At 38.0% G+C, this 23,060-nt stretch overlaps 1 protein-coding gene across 33 annotated transcripts in view; it reads right to left on the bottom strand.

Moving 5' to 3' along the window:
- ESR1 (estrogen receptor 1) overlaps nt 1-23,060 on the bottom strand; it is a 472,948-nt gene that overhangs the window by 115,581 nt on the left and 334,307 nt on the right. For 30 of the 33 annotated variants that reach the window (XM_047418290.1, XM_017010377.2, NM_001385568.1 and 27 more), the window contains one exon: nt 2,245-2,383. The exons of the other annotated variants lie outside the window; for them this stretch is intronic. In XM_047418290.1, the coding sequence (XP_047274246.1) occupies nt 2,245-2,383 (139 nt within the window). The remainder of the gene's footprint in view (nt 1-2,244; nt 2,384-23,060) is intronic. 33 annotated transcript variants of the gene reach the window in all.

The following is a 23,060-nucleotide window of genomic DNA, read 5'->3' as shown; positions in this document are numbered from 1 at the left end:
AATTCACTGTCATGAGAGGAGCAAGGGAAAGACCTTTGCTTATGTTTCAGTTACCTCCCACCGGGTCCCTCCCATGACACATGGGAACTATGGGAGCTATAATTTGAGATTTGGATGAGGACACACCAAACAATATCAACCCCTCAACCAAGAAAGAATGAAAGAATGATCTGACCCAAAATGTCAATAGTAAAGAGACTGACAAATCCTGGTCTAGAGGTAATTCAAATTTCCGATCTGAAGTTTTAGAAAGTAGGAATGAATAGAGATGAGAACTTTTAGTCATTCATACTTCTGTGAGAGAGGAAAGAAAATTAGCCACCACTGGAGTGTACAGAAAGGAAAGAGAAGGCTGTAGCTGATAAAATCCTAGGCCATATCACCTCACTGGCAATATGAGTTTTTTGGGTGCAGTAATGTCAAAAACCTTCACATATTCAAAATGCAATTATTTGATGACTGTCCTCAAGCAAGTGTGTACTCAAGAAGATAGATAAGATCACCACACATTATATGTATCAAAACATCACTGTGTACCCTATGAATCTGCATAATTGTGTCAACATTATAAAAATTGAATTAAATTTTAAAAAAGAAGATAGATACAGATGAGGATGGAAATCAAGGAGCAAATGAGTTATGAATGTCCAAAAACCTAAACATGGTAGACACTCCAGGCAGTAGGCAGGGAAATGTTACGTGTGGTCTAAGATTTTCATTTGCAAACTTGATATCACTTGGTTACAAAACCACACTGCTATAAGACAAAAAAATTAAGAGGACAGGAGAAAGAAAGAAAGAGGAAAGCAAAGGAAAAGAGAGGAGAAATGAGATAGGAAAAAATGGAAAGGAAACAAGGAATGGAAAGGAAAGAACACGGTAAAGACATCCTCTATAAGGCTGACAGAATACATTGTGAGTACAGTTCTAAGGAACAAGACTAGTGGCCATTCTTGATAATTTTGTGAAACTGTGATATCAAAATATATTCCACAGACAGCAAAATATGCTTCTTAAACTGTATCACCACTGTTTTTCAAAAGCTGTGTTAACACAAAATGACAAAACAATAACCAACACCTTGTACAATTCTCCAGTACTTAAATAAATTTTGCTGCAACTCTGCTCCAGGCACTTGGCAGGTGTAGAAAGATAGTGAAATGCTCTGAAGTAAAGTACCATGCAGAGATGCACTGTGGGCAGCCTGGCAGCCTTAGACTGCTTGGCACGGAGGCAAAATAGGATTGCAAGAAACAACAAAATGGTTCTTTCTCATCCAAAATGTTATGTAGCCCACAAAGACAAGATTTACCTGGAAAACAGAATGCTATGGCAGCAGACCAAAGGAGGCATCACTGAACATGAGAGTGGGAAGACCATGTGCCCAGCACAGGAGGTAACAGAGCATACCGGAGCCAGAAAGATCTTGAATTTGAACTCTGGCTCCACCATTTAGTGAGCTTTCCTCTTTTTGCAAGTAGCAGGATGTCTCTGAGATTTAGTTTCCTTTCTGGTAAAACATGGATGATGACATTCCTGCCTCCTAGGAGTCCGGTGATGATTAAATGAGATAATATATGTAAAGTGTTTAGCATCACAGCTGGTGCAGGGTGGAGACTCTATCAGTGGCAGCTGCTATTGAGTAATATCTAAATTCTATGACTCTAAGCAATGACTGAAAAAAAAAAAACAATGGGACCCACATTCCAAGGCAACCCCAGAATGGTATGTTAAAGAAGGTAACATATTTGAACATGAAAATGAATTTGTCGACCTGAATGTGACCTTCAGAACTCTGGTCAAATTTCTTCATTTTACGGATGGGAAAATTGGAGAAGAAAATGAATAGGCTATTGTGGTATGGATGTACAAGAAGCAACAACAGATTTTAATTAAAGAGAGGTTATTATAATTTTTATATGATACAAGTTGAAGATGGAGTTAGAAAATTACCATTCATAATGACAGAGAGAGAGAGAGAGAGAGTGTGAGTGTGTGTGTGTGTGTGTGTGTGTGTGTGTATTAGAAATAATAGAATTCTTCTGAGGTAATGTCTAGCAGAAAGTTATCCTTAGCTTTCTGTGAATTTGACTAGGCTTCATCACCCCCAATGCACTCTTTTGTTAAGTAAACATACCTAATAAAGTTCTCTGAAGCTTCACCGAGAGATGAATAAAATAGTTTCATGAATGAACTATGATCGTAAAGAACATGCTACTCCTAAGCTACAGCCAGGTCACTTACCTGTCCAAGAGCAAGTTAGGAGCAAACAGTAGCTTCCCTGGGTGCTCCATGGAGCGCCAGACGAGACCAATCATCAGGATCTCTAGCCAGGCACATTCTAGAAGGTGGACCTGATCATGGAGGGTCAAATCCACAAAGCCTGAAAACAAGCAAGAAAAACCCTGCTGACTCAAATGAAAAAGACTCATTACTGGTGAAATTAATGCAACAGGGATTTGAACTGACAAGGTCTATTTTCTACTAGATGGAGTAAATGCAATACGAACATACTTTATAGTGAAGTCAAGTAATTATTTTTAAAGTCTAGCTATCTCAATGAATTTCAATGTGGCATTAAGTTTCTTAGTGCCATAGTGTCACATCTACAGAAATGTACCAACTTGAGCAACACACTTAGCTTTCTATAAAGTGTTATACTCAGTGTGAAAACTTGTGTGCCTTCTACTTAGACAGCTATAATAGTAACCTGTGACTGTTCCTCATTTCTGTTTGAGTAGAAGATGCTAAGGTGCTAAGAAATTTAAATTACTTGCCTTATGCCCAATAGGAATTGGGGCACAGGCAGAATGAAAGTCACTAAATTTTTATTTCTTTGCTTCGTCCCTAAATCACACTCTTTTTTTGTAATATGTAAAAGAAAGACTCAGAAAACTCCATATATAAATAAATCACTTGGGATAATGAGTCAGATGGAAAAAAAGGTGACATTATGATTACTTCGGGTAATAACCACCAAAATGTGTTCTTGTTTTCTAATGGTGAACTAGGAGATTAAAGCTTTCTCCAATCATTACTGATAATATTGTGGTTACCTAATAACAATAATGAGAAGGAGGTAGGAAGAAAGGAAGGAAGAAGGAAGGAGAAAAGCAAAAGGAAGAAGAAGAGGAGGAGGAGGAAGAAGAAGAAGGAGAAGGAGGAGGAGAAGGAGGAGAAGGTTTGTTGAGCCCTTACTACGGGTAAGAAGCAATCCTAATGTTTCTTGTACACAATTTATTTATGAATACAACAACCTGAAGAGGTAGGAACTGATATTCCCATTGTACAGATGAGAAGACAGATGCTCAGAGAGCTTATTTGTCTGTTGAAGCCAAAACCTGTGCCCTTGACCACAATGGACACTATATCTTCTGAGCTCCACTTAATTAGAGAATTTGGATCAAGTGACTAAATAAATCACACACCACACACATTAAGATACGCCAGAGTGACAGGGACATTAAATAAATCAAGTATCCATGAAGTTTGCTGCCTTCCAAATCAGCCCCCTATTCTTTTGCCCTAAGATATCCCATCATAGTCTGTTTCCTTCCCTTCTCTCTTTGCCCTCAACCTTTCCTTCCCTCTTATCCATGGGAATGACTCTAGGAATCCTGTTGAGTGTATGTGTGTGCGTGTTCTTTTCTTTTTCTCTCATGAATATTACACTTTTATTAGCCAGCTATACTTGTGTTGATGAAAAAGACAAAATGGAATTTTGTTTTCCTTTAACAATCAAGTATGAATGGTCTGCTTACAGGATGTTTCTTCTTGGGGTTCTTGGAGGTAACAAAAGCTCATCATTAAACAGGTAGCTTATCATTTCTTACATGCTTAAGTATCATCTTTCAGATAATTCTTATATCCAAATAGATAATGATCCACATAGGGAAACCAAAGCTAGAGACAGACCTCAGAGTCTATGGCCCTCTCTCTTACCATCATTTCATAATCAAAGCTCATCAATTCTATCTTGAGGTAGCTATAATTTTCTCCTTTTTCATTGCCACTGTTAACCCGCTAATTCAGCTCCTAACAGTCTCTTACCTTTTTGTCTGACTTCTTAACTAAGCATAATTATTTTTAAGACTTAGCCATGTGGTTGTATGTATGATGAACAGTTGATTCTTTCTATTCCTAAGTGGTATTCCATTGCATGGATATGTCCTATAAATAAATACGATGTATCCTTTCATTGGACATTTGGGTTGTTTCTAGTTTTTGGCTATTACAAATAAAGCTGCTAGGAGCAATTTATTTACAAGTTTTTGAATGGATATATGCTTTTATTTCTCTTGGTTAAATACGTAAGAGTAGGATATCTGTATATAGCATGCCAGGTGGATGTTTTAGCTTTTTAAGAAACTGTCAAACTGTTTTCAAAGTAGTTGTAATGTTTACATTCTCACCAGCAAAACATGAAAGCACCAGTTGGTCTACAACCTCACCAGTGCTTGCTATGTTCAGTCTTTTTAAATTTTATACATTCTAATAGACGTACAGAGGTATCACACAGGAACGGTGGTTTTATGTGCATTTTCCTAATGACTAATAAGGTTGCACATCTTTTCATGTGTTTTTTAACAGATCATTTTGCTATACTGTATTCAAATTAATCATGCATGTATCTGTAAATCCTGCTAGACCATATACTCACTGTAGGCACAAGATGCATGATTCCATCAAATTTTGCATTTTTAAAGTTTAAATTTATTGCACCTTCCACTACATCACTCAGCCATGCCAAGGCTCATGACAGTGTAGCCTGTCTCAGAGCAGGTGTCTTTCCATTGAAAAGAGTGGATTCCACTCATGTAAAGAAGGACTTGGCATCAGGAAAAATGAGAAAGTGGGTGGCTTTGTTTATAAGGATAAGTAAAAGATGAAAAAGCAATGATTTGGTTTCAGATCCCCAGGGGGTGGGGGAAGGGAGGGAACAGGTATCTCTACAGCATGCAGTGATTTACCTGTAGGATGTACTGGGTCAAAAGGAACTAGTCTTGCTCTCAAGGAAACATCTCCGGATGCAGCAGCAAATGTTCCTCTTTCTCAATACCCACGATCTCATAGGATAAGCCAAACTGGTTTTGGTTTAAGTGATCAGTACTTAAAACGAAAGCCCTCTGGTTTCATTTCTTAATTTCATAATTCTTTAAGATTTCACCCCAATTTTTTAGGTTAAGTCTCATAATAGTAATGTAAACTTACACGGTACATTAAACTTATTGCATAAATGTTAACATTCAAAAGGGAGGCTTTGTCTCTCTTCTCATGACATTTGCTATATGTAATATTGCCACCCATGATGAAACCTACCTCGGATTATCTAACACCCTAAATAAACCTCAAAAAGAATCACGCAGGATGATATCTGGGTGTGTCTCATGAGTTACAATTGCAGCTGACCATGTAACCGATCAATATGGAAAACCAAAGGCCCCTTTCTGATGAGAACGTTACATGTTAAATGGAATTATAATTTTTAATTCCCACTTTACAGTTCCAGTATTATTTAGGTCTGACAGTTTTAGTGGCCTTTTGGAAGCCAAAGAAGCTCCCCATAAGCACTTGTGCCACATAAGGATGGTGATCATGGAATCTGTCTGAAGTATGTCTGTTGGTAATAGTTTTCAGTCGGAGGCCAGCCGGATTGCTCGATCCTTCCGTTGAAATGTTGTAGACCTCTCAAAAAGAGTCTATTTAATTATCTTTCCCAGCTGTGCATATTGCCTGCAGACAAGGGTTATTAGATCTGTTGCACAGTGTGCTCTGCAAGTTCCTGGGTCAGGGTTGGGAGAGAGTGTGCAGGAAAGGTTATCAAGTAACCTTCTCAATGAATGTGAAGACTATGAAAGATTATTAGATGGAGTGTCTCTTTTCTTCCAATATACTGGTCTCGACTTTACCACACAGCATCTAACTACCTTTTCAGCGTGGAATAAATATCCATGAGATGCCTTCAGTTCATAGCCAATGGAGAAAAATAATGTAATAAACCACATGCAAAATTATATTGGGCCAACTATGGATAGACATCAAGTTTCAAGACCTTGGTTTATTTTCCTGATAAACAGGAAGAATGTTCTGATATGCAATTCCAAATGAACCTGCTATAATAATTTAGAGGCATTCAAAAAGTAAATCCTGTTCTCTCCTGAACACTAGAAAGTGTCACCAATAATAACGTGGGAGCTTAGCAGCTGCTACGGGACATAAGGAGAGGTATCAGTGATAGACATTCTCGCAGGTGGCAAGTGAGAGGTGATTCATCCCGCCATCACTTGAGGACCTCCATCTCAATGACATGGGGGCCATGGGCCTGTGGCCTTCACACAGGAGGGACAGAATGCATATCGAAAAAGTAGTAAGAATAGTTTGATAAGACTAAGTGAAATCAGTTGCTCAGAAATCTCATTTAATAAAATAAAGTTTTTTAAAAGCAAACTCAGGTTTTAATCCCTAGTCTATATTCACAAGTCCCAGTAATAGTGAATCCAGAGATGATATATTGAAAACAGAGAGAAATGCCTTAAAATGCTCACTCCTCACCCCGCATATGGGCAGTAATCTGGCTAATAAAATTGAGGGGAGTCTCTTTCATGGCACAATTCACCCCTCCATCATAAATCAGCTCACTACTTATAGCTTCATCACCAAGCACAGACATCCCTGCCTTCTGCCTTCCATTATACAGTAACGGTTTTTCCTCCAAGATGTGTTAACTTTGTGTTGACTGTGAAAGGAGCTCATAGCATGTCCACCTCCCTGCCCCAGGCCTCACGAGATCCTGAGCCCTCTCTCCACTCTGCTCTACTAGGGACTTCTTACAAATTGCCTAATTTGCGTTGGTACACAGAGATTCTTGAAGCCTCACCCTCTTTTACTGAGTGTGGCAAGGCTCTTAGAAATGATGTTGAAAAGTGTGCAGAGATCTCCAAGCAAAATGACTAATATAATCTAAATCCTTGTAAAGTTCCACACTACCTTGGAGTAAAAGATAAATCAGGGTGGCTCTTCAGTAGAGACATGAAAAAAAGTAAGCACTACAGTAATTATATTCCTGCTTCCATGGGATACAGTCTATGAAGATTCAAAGCAGAAACACTGCAAAAGAAAAAAGCAACATTTCCCTGAGGAGTGCTATTTACAAAAAGCTAGGTGGTTGGTTCCCTCAGTAGATTCACTGGAAAAAAAAATATTGGTTTCCTGACCTTCAAAAGAGATAATCATTTTCTCAGTCATATGATGACCCCAATGTTCTCCAAAATGTCAGTCATGAAATTGCCTGTTGCATTTTTTTTTCTGTATTGGCTTTTCACTCAATAGAAGAAGAGTTGAATAATTCATCTCTTTCCCTTTCAATGCCAAAGACTCAGTGCAAGAGTACAGTATGGGAAAAAAATAAATCATGGAAGGAAGATTGTGGCACAATGATGGCTACAAGCTAAATAAAACTTTGGATTTCTGGGAGAAAGCTTATAGAATATATAGTATCAGAAGAACTAGACTCCTGTGTAAATACCAAGCAGTCTTCACGTCCCATATTTTGCGATTTATTCTCCAAAAAATAGTAACTTATTGCCATACCATGGATCATGGGCCCTATCGTTCCTATAGTACAGTTGAAATGACCTTCCTTCTCTCCAAAAAAAAAATGTTTGGACTCTCTTATATGCAGACTCATTAAAGCTATGATTCCCATTCTGTAACACTTTAAGATATCTTCGATAACAGGACAAACACTTAAAAAAATTAAGAAAATGGGTTTAATCCATTTAAATAAAGAATGTCACAAACAACTCTTACCAAATATGTACTACTGTTAGAAAATAAAATAAATGCAACATCCATCACCAAAATAAATAGTAATGGAATAAATAATCACTTGTTTTGAAATATTGTGAGTCTCAATGCTAGAAGAACATGAGCTTTCTCTTGAACCTACCCTACATCACCATCACTGTGACTATTCTGGTTTTGCCCTGCCATAATAAGGAGGTGTGAGCAGCTCTCACCCTGACCCCCATCCCATATCATACCACCTATCCAATGCTCTTATGCAGCTGCCACACTAAATAACCACCTTGCCAATATCAAGCTGACTCTTTCTTTCTTGAGGCTACAATAGCCTTCGTCCACAGGCCTGAGGACTAGCTATTTCCAAATCACATCCCAACATGGGACTTTCTGATTATCTGGAGGGCACACTCCCACCCATCTCCCAACAGAATGAGGAGGGCAGAAGTAATGAAGTCATGAGCTGAAAAGTCAAGAAGACCTGACTTTCAATTCTTCTGTGGTCTACAGCCATCTAATTAATATCTCTGAAAGCATTTCCTGTCTGTAAAATGCAGATGGACTGGCCTACCACTTAGGGTTACTGTAAAAATTAAGGGGTTAGCAGATGTCCCAGAAAGCCATGGTAGCTACTCAATAAATATTAGTTCTATTCTCTCCTTCATCCCAACAGGCTGCAATTTCTGCCCAATAGAAGAAAGCATTACTTTTGCAAAACACCAAGAGAAATGTTTTGTTTTAAAATATTTTAGGTTTATAACTTCAAACTTAAATTGGGCAGTTTGTGCTTGCCCTCATTCATGATGTCATGTTGTATTTTCTGTTTATGTTTTTCTTTTCATTTATATATAAAAATAACCTAATAAAAAGGATAAAAAGGCATCCTGGACCTCAAATAGCCCTATAAAAACAACATTTTTCATGATTTAAAAGGAGAGGGAACAACAGCATGTGGATTATATTTTGCCTAAAATACATGTGCAAAGAAATGAGAAAAGAAAGCACGTTTGGGGTTTTATTACACTCCAAGCATTTCAAGATGTTTAGCATGTCCAGAATGCAGCTGTCTTCATACACCCCCAATTAGAAATAGTTGATGGTTTTCTACTGAACCCAGCAGCCCTCCACACTATGTTTGCTGCTGTCTATTTGCCTTGGGATAGACAGAACAAAACTCGCCTTGTAGTGACTACTTGCCTTGGGAAACAAAGTGGTGTTCTTCAGGCAAACGCTATGCAGTAAAAACCAGTGGTAAGAAAAAAAACAAAAAACTGAATTCATTTGAGAAAAAATTGAAGAATTTAGTCCAGAAGTTTTACAATAAACAAAGGTACTGCTTCTTAAAATAAATGGTGTATGCCTCAAATAAATACCCCATATTAAGATGACCATTTCTTGAAAGAAGTATGAATGATGAAGGTCATGATATCTATGTAAATATGCAAACTTGCCAACTTTGACTATGCAATCTGATAACAGCACTGTGTATTACTTTATGTAATGTAATGAAGACATTTCTGACATTACCCATTCCTTCAGAACAATGCAACAGAACTTATATCTTACTCTGAGATTTTTTTTTTTTACATATACAGATTCAAAGGTGATGTTTCTGTAGTATATCTCAACTAAAAGCCAACAGGATTGTTTATGATAATTCTACTTCTTCCTCATTTTTATCTAAATAGAGGATAAAAACCAGTAGAAGGCCTGCAGTATTTCCTGGAGCTCTCTACTGTAATGCATACATGAGGTATAAACTACATGGCAAAGAAAGTCTCTCCTTTACCAAGACCTTAAATACGATGAGTGGCTAACTCATTGTAGACCAATCATTAAGAAAAGAAACCTAAAGACAAAACTGGTTTCAAGTCTGCCCAACTGTTGCTTGGTTTTCAACTCCAACCCAAGTAACCACACTCCTTATAATGCTCCTTTGAAAAATTATTGGTCTTAACCACAAAACTGCATTCTGACTCTACTTCAAACATTCTTTAGCAGCTTTTCCCTGCTCTGGACATCAGCTCATGTGCACAGTTTAGTCATCCTGTGTGTCTGTGTGTGTACCATATTGTAGTTACATTCTACTCACCCACTAGTATTTGATTATTTTTACACATCAACATATAGGACATAAAAGCAGTGTATGAACTTCTCTATTTAGAAAGAAAAATGAGGCTTATAAAGCCCTTCAAGAAATTAAGGTTTAGAATTATAGATTGTAGCTTATGTAAAATAACTATAATACAAAGAGAGAAATTGTTCTTTACTTTAAATATAAATTTTATGAAATATTTCCCATAACCTTTATTCATCAGTTTAGTTTACCACATACCTTTTAATGGCTAAATATGTATATTTTTTCAAAAGCTGGATATATCTTAATTCTGATCACGATATATACAAACTTTTAAAATACTGGGTATATTCTTTTTAAAAATGTATGGCCTCACTTTTTGTAGGAAGTTGATATGAGAAAATGTCACTTGTATCTTTGACAAAGGGGAGTATGAAGATATTAAGCTGTATCCCTCCTGTAAGCATTCATTTCTTTGGCAAATTTCTCACCAAATTTGGTAACAAGAAAAGGTTTTCCTCTCCTAAATAATTATGCTCCTATTTGTTACCTAATAAGAGAATGATGACACTACTTACAAACTTCATGCAGCCCCACCATCAGGAAGCACAGGTGTTAAAATGTTCAAAAGCAGTAATAATTTTACTTGTTTCATGGGAAAATGATTGCCTCACTCCTACTTGTTTCTGGATCTCACACTTGACTGTATTATTGAATTACTAGGTACCTCATAGGAGACTTTGCAAAGTAGACAGATAAATAAATCATTAAAATATGTATATTTGTTTTCACACACACACACACACACACACACACACACATAATTACCCTTTTTTCCCTCCATTTAACAAGTAAGTTGTTTGATGACAGGTGAGGAAGTAGTTTGTCAGGAGAAAAGAATTAATCTCACAGCTCTATCTGACTCCAGAAAGAAAAATAAGTCAAGACTTTCAGATTTGAGGATGAGACTTGGGGATCACAAAAAAATAATGTCCCTTAGAGAAAACAAAGCAGATGGCAATCCTACCTTGTTACCAGCCCCATCTGTATTACACTCAGAGCCTTGGTTTATGAAGAGATGGTTGTCATGACAATAAGCATTTGAGAAGAGTTCTGAAGAAGCTGATGGATTTAAGAGTATCTTCTAGCTTCCCAATTTTCCAAACACACACAAAAAAACCCATCCCCACCCTCATCCCCAAATAAACAATTATAATACTTCTTATATTTGCTACAATTATGCTATGTAGATATTATGAAATTTTGTACTCTCTCTTATCAAAATCTCCTGGGAGTGACAGAACAGATCCTTACTCTGATACAGCACAGCTTGAAGGTAAACTAGTCTTTTATTTTTGTTCAGCAAAGGCAATTGTATTAACCACAGCTTCTTTTTATTTTTTTCCTTACACGCTCAGAAAGAAATCAATTTCAGCTTAAATGAGAAAGGGGAAAAAGGTAAAAGAAATTATTTTTCAGTTTCTGAGAGTAGATTGCAAACTAAAGAAGGGAAAAAATTAATAAACTATGAAGTAAAGTACTTAAGACTGCCCTTTTAAGTGCTTGTCAAATGGACAGGAAGGACAGCTACTGTGGAGTGATTCCGAGTTACCTGACAAAGAGCACAGACTGGCTGCATCCGAAAAGTCAACAAGCACTTGTACCTTGGAACATACATTCTTTCCATCAACCTAGAAGCAGATCTACGAGCATTTCAAATACTATTGTCATCAGTCTGCATTTTCCAGATAACTGTATGCTCCTGGTAAACACTACAAATGTCTTCAAAACAAAAACTACGAGGGAAGTAGACGGTCTCTTTTTTAGAGCAAGTCTCCAAACCGCATGGACAAGGATAGCTTCCTCCCATCTCCACCCAGCTCAAGACCCTCCATGAAGCCAAAATTGATGACAACACTGTCGTTTTAGTGAGATATTCCACACACACACACACACACACACACACACACACACACTTGATTTAAAATCTAGAGGAACACCTGTTGTTGCCAAGAACCCAGGGACTTATAGTTCTGGAATGGATTAAGAGCAAAAAACAAGAGGCTTATATTCCCATTTTCTACTTAAGTTCAGAATGTCGAAACGGGAGTTTTACAAGGTAAAATTGCCAGAAATGCTGAGCATCAAAGCATATGACAATGCTTCAACTGGGAAGCCAGAGAAAAGCCCTATGGCTCCATATACAGAAGGAGTGGGCCCAGCCAGTCAGGAGCCCTTTGGGGTCCAAGGGTCTCACAAGCACATGGGGGGTTAATTCAGAAAAGACTTCTCCCTTCCCTCCAGTCTTTCTATAGTTCCCTATCTCCCATATTCATTCCATTATCCTACACAAATTTCAGCAACAAAGAGAGAGAGCAACCAACCAAAGAAAGGAGAAAAATTCATTTCAGTGTCTTCCACCCCACCTTTGAAGTCAGTAACCACTGAACTTGTATATGCCATTCTAGAGAGAGGCCAAAAGGAGACTGGAAGCCAGAAACTATTTTTCTTTAACCCATGGTGGATTCTTTTACAAGCACAGTAGATCTTGCCAGGTCATTAAATAGCCACTCTAAAAATAAAGTGGGTAGCTAGGTACTACAGTTGGGATGTAGTTTGTCCCCACCAAAACTCATGCTGAAATTTAATTGCCTGTTACAATGTAGCAGTGTACAGAGTTGAGGCCTTTAAGAAGTGATTAGGATGTTAAGATGTATTCATGTCTTTCTCATGAGAATAAATTAGTTCTCCAGGGAATGGATTAGTCTCATAGTTACAAAGTGAGTTAGCCCCTTTCGTCCCCTTTCTTTCTCTTTGCATGTGCCCATTTCTCCTTCCAATTCTCTGCTGTGTTATGACACAGCATGAGGCCCTCATTAAAGGATGGCCAGATGTGGCTGTCTGATCTTGAACCTCCCAGCCTCTAGGATTGTGAGTCAAACAAATCTTTATAATTTGTACATTACCCAGTCTCAGGTATTCTATTATAGGAACAGAAAATAGACTAAGACACCAGGCCACCCTGTAAGAGAAACTCTCTAGACTCTAGATGCTAATTACTTTGAAAGTAAAAACTATCCCATATCTTGCTAGTTCAACATGGCCTCTGGCTTGGTACTAGGTCTCATCAACAATGTTGGCTCCCTAAGGATTACAACAGGAACTACAGCAGTATTTCCTAATAAAGATAAAGAGTAACCGTATTAGTTTCCTCGGGTTGCCATAATCAAGCACTACAAAATGGGTGGCTCAAATCTGCCTTACATTTAGTAGTAAAAATGTATTCGGTCTTCAAGATTGCAAAGCCTCTTGTTCTAAGTATTTTAGGTTACAAATGAGAATAGTTTGGATTGGGGTTACTAAAAAAGACCAAAAAACAAAACAAAACCATAAACCCCTCCCACATACAAAACAGTGGCACATATACCAATTAAAGCAAAGTTTACAAATATTTAGCAAGGCAGAGAAGGAGGTGTCTTTTCTTAGATACAAGGACATGCAGGTGCCGTCACTGAAATGACATAGACCGTTGTTATTCCATCTCATGATGACAAGACTAGAGATTGTCCTAGAAGAGAATTGACTTATCTCAGGAAATCATTACCTGGGCTCTAATTTGCTCAGGGAATGCTAGAATTAAAAAAAGGCAGAATCACTCCTTTCCAGGAAAAGCTAATTAGATATCATATTTATATAAAGAGAAAAGTATCTGTTGACTACCTTCTTAGAGTTCCAAGTGTCTCAACAGGACTGTTAAGTTTTTCTATGTAGAATATGATATTATGAGGATGGAATGTGTGATAGAAGGGATAATGGGCTTTGTTAGGTCCAGCTTTGCCACTTATGAGTTAGGTGATTTGGGGTCAATTATTCAATTTCTGGTGCCTAGCAGAGTGCCTTCTCTTAGTGTATGCTCTATGGATATTTTTTGAATGAATGAACGAATTGTTCTGGGTTTCAATTTCTTCATCTGCAAAATGAGAATGGTAACACTATCCCTGCAGCATGTTATGGTGAAAACTAGAAAGAATATATAAAAAGTATCTATCACATTCCCTGGAAAATATGGGTGGTCAACAAATAAATGGTACCTATCATTGTATTACTTCCTTTTTCATTATAAAAAGTACCAAATATTACACAGATAGCAAATTCTCTACTTACCACCTAACCATGAGCTACACATATAAAATTTATAGGTTGAAACACACACATAAGAGAGTTCTTAAATATTTTTATTCCATTTGGAAATCTGGTATAGTCTACAGATGACTTCTCAGATTAAGGTTTTAAGTGCATAAAACAAAATATTTTTAAAAATCACAAAATGAAACAAGTTATACTGAAATCCACTTCTTAAAAATGCCTGGGTATTTATGGACCCCAGGGTAAGAGCCCCTGATAGGATAAGGATCAAAGTCAATGACTTCCCAGATGATCAAAGGCTGCTGGAAGACTGTCTCATTACATCTTTTCAGAGGACTGTAGGAAACATTTTGATTCATTACATATTTTCTCTCGAATCCAAAACACAACAGACTAAGTAAGAATTTCATGCATCCTACATGGCAAACAAGATATCTCTTTCCCCATCTCCTGCTTTTCTTGTAATGCTCTCATAAAATGATTGAAGAGCTAAGAAAGTATTATTAACTACTGGAAATGCTTGTTATATATAAGACAAACAGATTTTTAAAAAGGTTTCAGTACAAATCTAGTAAAACAACTGCTATTTAAGAGCAGGTACAAGAGTTGGCCTTAGTGACTCACTGTCGATGATGACTCACTTCATCAACTATTAAAGGAAGTCATTAATATCCTTAACTAACTAAAGAAACTCTGTGAAAATGCATCAAGATTTGAAGATTAAATGTAAATGCAAGCCTTAAAATAGATTAATAAATTATAAGATGATTTTGAGAAATCAAAATCATTTTATTTACTTTTAAGTGATAGCAAAATCTGTTAATATGAAGCTATACATGAAATAAACAGGTAAAACCTCCAAAATACATGTTTCTTGCCTTTCAAATCCCTTGTAAAGATTTGCCTGAGGTATGAAGCTTTCTCTGGTGCCTGAACAGGCATGGCCAGCTGAGGACTGGCCAGGAGAACCAGGACAGCAACTCAGACATTGACGCTGATACAACCATTACAAGGGTGTTTGGAACAGATGATGTAACTCTGTTGGACTGTCCACTCAGCCCTTTTTGTACAACATCTGTGGGTTCTGTCCATGACATCTTAGATACCAATAAAAGTCCAAATTTAGGACTAGGAATCCATGGCAAAAACCAAATCATTCCAATGGCATGTAGCTACATGAAAGGATGCTGTTTTGGACAGCAAATGGAGGGGAAGGATACCTAAACTTTGGAATGTAAGTTAAGAGGAAGAAAACAGATCCTAAACATAAATACTTGAAGGGTAACCAAACATATGAGAATTAACTCCAGTTGTTCAAGAAAACAATTGATATAGTGATATAGTCTCTATCTGGGGTCTGCAAGATCATGTACGATTAATAACATGCTTTCAGGAAAATGTAATTGGTTGAGTGAAAAAGGTTTCTGATCCCTTCCTTAACCTTTCCCCAGTTCTAGAAGATACTCCTCCTCCAGTGCATGACTTCCTGAGTCATCTGTGTGCTAGACTCACTAGGAAGGAGGATGCATTTGCCCTCATCTTGGCTTTTCCCAAAGAACCCAGCACGGTGCTTTTCACAAAACTGATATTCAAAAAGGATTCTGAGTGAATGTTTGCAAGAAGCTAAAAAAGAACAGAAAAAAAAAAGAAATAATACTGATTTTATTGGCAACTATAATATCCTCTTGGTATGGGCAGCTAGACTAGGCCTCATTATATTTGAGGCTATGTGTAAATTGCACAATTACATGTAAATTTTACATAACCATTTAATACCCCCCACTGCCACCCCAATGGGGATGCTTCAGAGAAATAACAAAGGTAAAGATAAAAATTTAAGAACAGTCCTAGCTACACAGAAAATCTAAAGCCATAACATATGAGAGCAAATAATTTTCTTAATAAGCCCAAGGAAAATATCTAATTTGTTAAGTGGGATATGAAACCAATGAGTTAATGTGAAATTTTAAAACAGAGATAATAAGTAACATGAAAGATTAACCAAAAGCTAACGTATAGAGGAACAAAATGCCAAGAAGTAACAAGAAGAGCTGGGGTTTCCCTCATCACTTCTGAAAGCTTTGGGGACACCTCTAAGCGCTCTTTCCCTCCCCGTGGCTTTCCTGGGCTTGCTTTCGAATCTTTTCAGGATGGTAGCATCTTTAAAGATTTTCCATTCTCCATTACTGCTTTTCTTTTATTTCTGTGTTTTTTCTCTTCTGCCACTCCATCCAGTGGAGTTTTAGCAAAGTGAACACGATTTAAAGTTTGAACTCTATCAAAAATTTCAGATAACTTTTTCCCTGTTAAAAACACAGTCAATGTCAAGAAAGAGGCGAAAGTGGAACCACAGTTTGCTGAAAAATTACCTAGGTTCTTGGATCTATCTGTCTCCAGCAATCATAGCTTTTCTGCATATTGCTTCTTAGGGCTTATTTTCCTCCCAATGCATCCATATTAGCAGTCATAATGTGTTATACTTGTCCATTTGAAGTACCTACAGCTATAATATTATCCTATGAGATACTTTGTATCTTCTGACTCATTTTGCAACACTGGGGCTATGATTACAATTAAACCTTTATCAGAGTGTAAAAAGCATTCCAAGTTTCCTAAGGTTGCCACAAAAAGATTACAAGGGTTGGGGTTTATAGTGACCTAATGTCTCAATTTCCATTTCTTGAAGGATCTACTATAGGATCTTTTACTTATTTAGTAGTTGATTAGTAAATTCAGTGTTGATTGAATGGATTTAAAAATAAATAATTATATTTTTAGAAAATTCAGAAGCCAGACATATGCCAATACTGACTTCCTACAAAGACTGATCAGATCCACCCCCATTAACTAGATTTGCACAAATCATCCAAAGCAATGAACGGTAAGATGCTCTTCACACATTGTTTTTGTTTTGTGTTGCTTTGTTTTTTTTTTGTTTTTGTTTTGGCCAGGACTAGGAAGTCTACTTACATAGGGACAGTACCTGCTTTTTGGTTCTTATTGCCCCATTTTACTAGCTGGGATGAAGTAGTAGAATAACACCATTGGATGGTCTGGAACATGTTTGTCACTCAAATCTCCTTTGTCCTTAATAGATAGTGGATGGTCTCCTACTTGTTTGAAATTACCCAAAAAATGAGATTCCCTGTACTTTACTCCAAGCGTGGCACTTATGGATTTGCTCAGTTAAATCAATATATCAATAACAATTTCATTCCTCAAATAGTTACTGAAGACCTATTACATTCAATTTACTGTGTGAAGGATTGAAATTAGCATACTTTTACTTTTGTCTATTGAGATGGATGAACCTCAAAGTCCTACGTTTACCCTCTATACGCATGCTTATCACTGTCTATTGCTAGAAAGGGAATGATATCTCAAGAGGCATATAACATGGTCTCATATTAGTGGTATCAAAATAAGGCACTGCAAGTCTTGGTACCCAATCCAGAGGCACCATTTGCAATCTAAGAAGAGCCCAGAGGAGAGGAAAATTGGTAATGAATCAGTGGGGAGTCCACGAAGGCAGAGGGGCTTTGGCACAGCCCAAAAGACAGACAGAAATGAAGCTCTCAGGACTCAAGAGGAGCCTCATTCCAGGCAGAAGAAGGATCATGGAAACCACACAAGCGGGTACTAACAGTCAGGAACAAATAGAACACATAGAGAGGACAGTGGGAGGTCCCCCTGGCTAAAGCAGAGGGTGTATTGAGAGAAGGAAACCTTTGCCTCAATGGATCGTAGGCAAACTGAGAAGGACCATAACACCTTGCTGAGAAGTTTGAATGTGATTCCTTGGTGACCACAGCAGGAGGTCCTGAAGTCCCTGTCCTTCAGATGCAAACAAGGAGGCTGTCCCATACAGACTATCAGGGAAAAAATGCACTGTTTATCAAAAGATATGAATGTTCTTGACAGGCAAAGCCCTGCTCAAATGAAATGGCAGTGCAGGGAGATGATATTCAGTGTGATGCAGCTGTGAGTACTTAAGAGTGTGGCCTGAACCCAGCAGGGCCTTGGGTGAGATCTCAGCTCAGCTACTTCATAGTGGAGACACCATGAGAAAGCTATGTAACTTCTCCAGGCCTCAGCTTCTTCAGCTGAAAATGGAGCTTAACAAAAAAGCACTTTCCTCATAGGGTTATCATGAAGAGTAAAGAAATCAGTAAGTATAAAGTGCTAGAACAGTGTCTGGTGCCTGGTCATTACTCATTAAGTGTTAGCTCATTAGCAGTTGTTGTACTCATTGTGATTCAAGGTGATTCAATCCAGTTGGCATAAATGTATTTTTAGGGCACCCACCTTCCTTTAAAATTCTTACCATTCATGTGGAATAAATAAAATCAAGTAACAATAATAATGATAATTCAAATGATTTGTATCTTCAAAAAAGTCTAACTAGAAAATAGAAATTAAGGACACAATGTAGTTAGAATTTCAATGTTGAACTTAAAAATATCTTTTTCAAATATCTGATGTATATCTTAAGTCATAATTTTACTTGAAGCAGGACTTCCCATATATTTTTGCTAACCATTAGTTCATGTCCCTAGGAGAATTGTGTAGAATTTTCTTTTGTGTCTCATACTTCCTGTCATGTAAGTGCTCAATAAATCTTGGATGGATGGATGGAAGGACGGATGGATGAATAGACGAATGGATGGAAGGATGGATGGATGACTGGATGGACAGATAGACTGATGGACAGATGGATGGAAAGACGGATAGGAGAAGGAAGAAAGGCAAACAAGCAGGCAAGCATGTCAGATGTCACTTGTCCTGGAACAAGAAGTCAAAAGCCCTTTTATGGATTCAGGAGTTTTGGATCCCGGGCCACTACCCATGTTCCTAGGGGCTGCTTTTCATGCAGATTGTCAGCTTCCAAAGGTAGCAAGGGACCCATGACTTCACAGTGGCTGCTGAGTGTGTGCTCCACATGGTCTCACCCTCCTTGTATCTTCCCTAAAAAGACCCCACAGCTGGGTTTGAGAAACACTGAAGATATGAGAAGGCATATGAAAGGCATTATGGTTTCCCCTTTGTATCTGGGAAAATGACATTATTTAATTATTATTGATAAAGATTAGTTTATTAAGTCAAGACAAAACGCCTGCCTTGGAAATTGATCTTTCCAATGATAATTTCTCAAATGAAAATACCCTAAGCACAAATGTACAGGCTTGACTCTCTCCCTTGCTCATTCTTACCCTCTTTATCAATGAGCATCTATTTCCTGATATTTTTAAAATGAGATTTATAGGCATGCTGGTAGTTTGCTAGAATGCACTGTATTGTATTTTAGAGAAAAAGAAGCAAGGAAGACTCCTTACTTACTCTGATCCAGTTTCCTGGACTCACTTTTGATGAAGAGACTCATTTTGGACACTGCCCACTGTCACAGATGGAACAACAAGGACAGGGTTTGTCACCCACGGGTCCTAAGTCAGCAGCTGAGGAGCATATTAGGGCATCAGCTCACCCTTACGGTCTATCTGGAGGAATGTTTTACAATTTAATTCAGCAAGTTTTTAATGAGTATATATGTGTCTAGCATTGTATCATGCTCTGTGAGAGATACAAATCAGAGACCAGAGATCGTATTTGGACAGTTTACTGCAAATTTAGTAGAGCTTATTTTTTTAAATGACAAGGTTCCAGTCTTAAAGAGCCAGCATTAATGTTTTCCATATCATGTGGGCATAAAAGACTCTAATCTTCAGGCTAGAAGGGACCTCAGAGTTGTATAGTGCAGTCCACTTGTTTGATACATGAGGAAACTGAGGTCTAGAAAGGAGAAGGTATTTGGCATAAACCATATCCACGGAACATGTAAAATTCAAACTGAGTACTCTCAAACTTTTGTCACTAATCTGGCTGCCTCTGTGACCTTGGGCAACTTATTTACCATCTCTGTAACTCAGTTTCCCCATTTAAAAATAGTGATAATATTAGTAACTACCTTCTAGGGTTGTTAGGAGAATTAAGCAAGTTAGTACATATAAAGCATATAGTGCCTGGCATAGAGACTGTATTCTAGAAGTATTCATTATTATCATTATCATTATTTTGCAGTTTAAAAAAATAGAGAGAGATATCCATGGTAGAATTCCTCATACTGCTTCATCTAGAAAGAAAAACTAAGTACCATATTAAGTGGCAGTGTGTCCAATGGAAGACATTGGTGCAGATCCTGGCTTCTCCACTAAGAAGCCGTGTGGCCTTGGGCAAGACACTCAACCTTTCTGAACCTCAGTTTCATTATCTGTGCAATGAGGACAGTAACACCCACTCTGCTTCCTCCCAGGTTGTTTAAAAGTTCTGTTGAGATATTGGTTAATAAAGCAAGTTATGAATTGCTAAGTGCTGTACATGTCAGGAATAGTAGGGCAGAAAACTAGGATCAAAGCCAGAGAACTTGAGAAGAGCGGGATCTGCAAGGAGCCAGAGCTGGAGCTGGTCCCAGGGTCTGGGAACAAGGCATGTGCCCTCGTGCTCCTCTGGTCCTTTCCTTGACTTGTTTTCTTTGTGGCTTGAGTTGTACAATTTGGTAAGAAAGCTGTGACTTTTGAGAAGGAGATAGATAGGTCCTGTTCACTTGCTCTGGGCCAAGTCCGACCCAGAGAAGAGAAGCTAATATTATTAAATAGATCAATACATCTAGCTCCACACCTTGCTGGCTGTAATGCAAAGGCGTTGGGTGTCTCATTGGACAGTATGTCAGCAGCACTTTGGCAGCTGAATATGGTTTTATTATCTCCACAGAGTTCAAGATGTTTTCTCCTTTATAGATTGGCAGTTGCCCAGGACAACTTTGTATTTTACATATATATAAAAATCTTTAGATTACAGAAGAACCAGATGGCCTAATTTATAAATTAACCACTAAAACCACAACTCGTTTATTGTCATGAAGTACAATTTACCACAGAAAAAGATCCTTTTGCTCTTCATAATTTTATTTTTCAAACCTGTGAGTGGGGGAAGGATGTCAGAGACTCCCCCATCTCCCCCATCAACTTTTTGCAATTCAAGCCAAAATTACTGAAATTAGCGAGCTAAGTAGGCTTAACTAAACCAAAAAGCATGCTTTGGCACAGGCATCGCAAGTACTAGATAATATATGTTATAACAGACATATTTACAAAAAACTTGGTAGTCTCCATTTCCTCAGGTTCAGATCTCTTTTTAATCCGCTTCTCTTATCTACCACTGGGGTAGGTAACTAAGACAGTGCTCTACACGAGTCACAAAAAAAATCATTCTTTTAATAGATAAGGGTGCCCACTGGTCCACCACTGCTTATGGAAGCAAATCCACATGCTTCAAGAAACGTATCACTTTTCCATCCTTTCCCCACCCACCTTGCCAACCTCATCTTCCAAATTCCAAGCTACAGTGCCTCTGTCCTCAAGAAAGTGTCTTGAGTGTCCCTAGAATATGACATCCTATTTCTTTCTGGTCTTATGTTTTCACTCACAAAAACATTCATTGTCTTCTATGTATTGGGTGCTATCAAAGATAGAGAGATATAAAAACGCATAAGAAAACATAAAAGAACCTTGAAAACATTATGTCAAGTGAAATAAGCCAGGCACAAAAGGAAAAATGTTGGATGATTCCATCTATATGAGTAGTTAAACGCGTAGAAAGAGAAAGTAGATGGGAGGTTTCCTGAGGCTGAGGGCAGGAGGAAATGGAGAGCTATTGTGTAATGGATACAGAGTTTGCCTGGGATGATGAGAAAGTTCTGGAGATGAATGGTGATAATGGTTGCACAACAGTGTGAATGCACTTAACGCCACTGAGCTATACACTTCAAGAGGTGAAAATGGTAAATTGTACGTTACTTATATATTATCACAATACATTTTTAGGGCATAACAAGAAAAATGAATAAGACACAATTTCTGCCCTCAAAGAGCTCACTGTTGAGTTGGAATGAGCAGAAAACCTTAAATCAAAATGGCAGATGCAGTAATACAGAAGCCTTCCCCGACACCAGAGAGACTCAGCCTGGTGTCAGGGAAGTTTCCTGGAAGAGGTGATGCCTGCTCATGTCAGTTAAAAAGAGGGAAGAGCAAGTCAACCAGGAGTATGGGAATGTCTGCGACGAGATGAGTGGCCCGATAAGATGAGGAAGAGGATCCCCTGAGAAGGCACTCCTGTCTGACTGATGGAGCAGCCTGGAGGGGAAGAAAGCTCAGGGTTTGTGTGGGGAACTACACTCAACTTAGCACTGCAGAAACAAGGGGAGAGGCAGAATCACAGACGTGAAGCAGAAGTACTTCTAAGCTTCTGCTCATCGTGTCATTTCCACCACGATGTCCTTTCCCATCTGGCCCCTGCTCCTCATGCCATTGAGACAAGTCTGAATCATCTTCCCCAAATCAGTGTGGGGGCCGTTTTCTCTGTGAAATTTTCTCTTCCTAAGGTAACTCAGGATTATCTCTCCTTTCTCTAAACTCTCATTTCTCTGCCATCGTTTTGTTCCTAATCATATACTATTCTGGGTCTAATTTTCCTTCAACCGTATTTGGAGCCCCTTGAGGGCTCAAAATGTATTTTTTTTTTTCCTTGTAGCACTTAGCAGGTGAGATTAGAAACTCTTTTTAATAAATGTTTTTTGTAGTCAAATTCTTCCTGAATTTCCAACTACCAGTGTCTAAGAAAATAAAAATAAAATGCGAAACCAAATTCTACAGAATAAATGTTTCTTCCTAAGAAGTAATTCATGTATGGTAAAGAAGTTCAGGAACATGAGGCTATTCAAGATCTCCAAACCTCAGAGTTACCCAAATCAGGTCAGTATTTTCTCTGTCATCACAGAAAATCAGGAGTTATACATCCTGGAAATTAACTTACTGTCTGTACAGAGCCAAGTGAAATGGGCTTTTGGCTTAACATTCTCCTCTTAAACACCAGTCTCCTCAGAGCTATATTAGGAAAAAATTTAGTGCACTAAAGAAGTGTAGACCTGGATTTAGAAGGTATGGTTCCTAGACTTTCTCCTGGTGGTATTGTGTGGATTTGGGCA

This window comes from Homo sapiens, chromosome 6 (assembly GCF_000001405.40).
Source record: "Homo sapiens chromosome 6, GRCh38.p14 Primary Assembly".
Taxonomy (NCBI): Eukaryota; Metazoa; Chordata; class Mammalia; order Primates; family Hominidae; genus Homo; species Homo sapiens.
The sequence above is the reverse complement of the archived record's forward strand: the minus strand, read 5'-3'. Positions and strand labels throughout refer to the sequence as shown.